The sequence below is a fragment of the Homo sapiens genome, chromosome X, assembly GCF_000001405.40.
Source record: "Homo sapiens chromosome X, GRCh38.p14 Primary Assembly".
Taxonomy (NCBI): Eukaryota; Metazoa; Chordata; class Mammalia; order Primates; family Hominidae; genus Homo; species Homo sapiens.
This window is the reverse complement of record NC_000023.11, coordinates 45,709,827-45,710,795: the sequence shown is the minus strand read 5'-3', so window position 1 is coordinate 45,710,795 and position 969 is coordinate 45,709,827. Positions and strand designations below refer to the sequence as shown.

General features: G+C 44.0%; 1 annotated feature.

The window, feature by feature from the left end:
• Positions 575–674: an enhancer, noted in NCBI's record as "active region_29569". NCBI's record gives its function as "activates an Ori minimal core promoter by ATAC-STARR-seq in GM12878 lymphoblastoid cells {active_cell/tissue: GM12878}" and the evidence as "EXISTENCE:reporter gene assay evidence [ECO:0000049][PMID:35858748]".

Here is a 969-nt window from a genome sequence, read left to right as displayed (position 1 = left end):
GGTTTAATTGACACAGGAGTCTGGAATGCTCTGAAACTGTGACTAAGGGGACAGCCTCTCTGGGTAATTTAAGCTTCCTTTCTCATTCATAACCTCAACCACAAGGTTGAACTGGCACCCTGTTCTTTTTGAATTTCATGAGTAAAAAATGCACTGAAAACCATTACTCTAGCCAGAATGAGTGCTGCTTCCTCCTGATCCACTTACTGACAAATAGTACATCCTAAACCAGGTAGCTGACTAAGTCCTTAGTCACAGAAACAGAAGTTCTTCATCCGATCAGCCTTTTCCTCTCCCCGTTGGCCAGGCTGCCCCATCTGCTCTGAGACACTGGAGCCCCTTGAGTAAATTAGAAACCCAACTTCAGGGCAGTGAGTTACAAGCAGAAAAACCCCAGCATCCTGTACACTCTGACAGTAGCACCACACAAGGACATTTAGGAAAGAAAATGCAAATAGCTTGACATAAACTAAGAATTAGCAGCCTCTGTGGTCTGATACTAGGGAGTCTGGGAAGGCCCTAATGTCACCCCCACCATCACCACCACAGGGCTGTGGCCTTCTGGAGTAAAGCTCTTATCCTTCCTCAAAGGTCAAGTGATTAAGGCCTCTACCACTTTATTACTCACATCTTCATGTGAATGCATAAACTGAAAGGCATGGACAGGGAGAGAGAGAGAGAGGAACAATGTGGGTTAGAGGGTACATTTCAAACCCCAAATCAGAAGTCTTGAAGTGCAGGGTACCTTTGGGAAAGTGATTTCATTTCTCTGGGCACCATCTTCACGCGAAAGTTGATCTAGCTAGATAATTTTTACATCTGTCTCTCTTCCTTCCTGTCTTCCATTCTCTTTCTTTTCCTTTCTTCTTGTCTACGAGTATTTATTGAGCCCCTACTATGTGCTACACTTTGTTCTAGGCATTGTGAATATCACTGTAAACAAAATAGGCTAAGTCTGCATCCCATGTA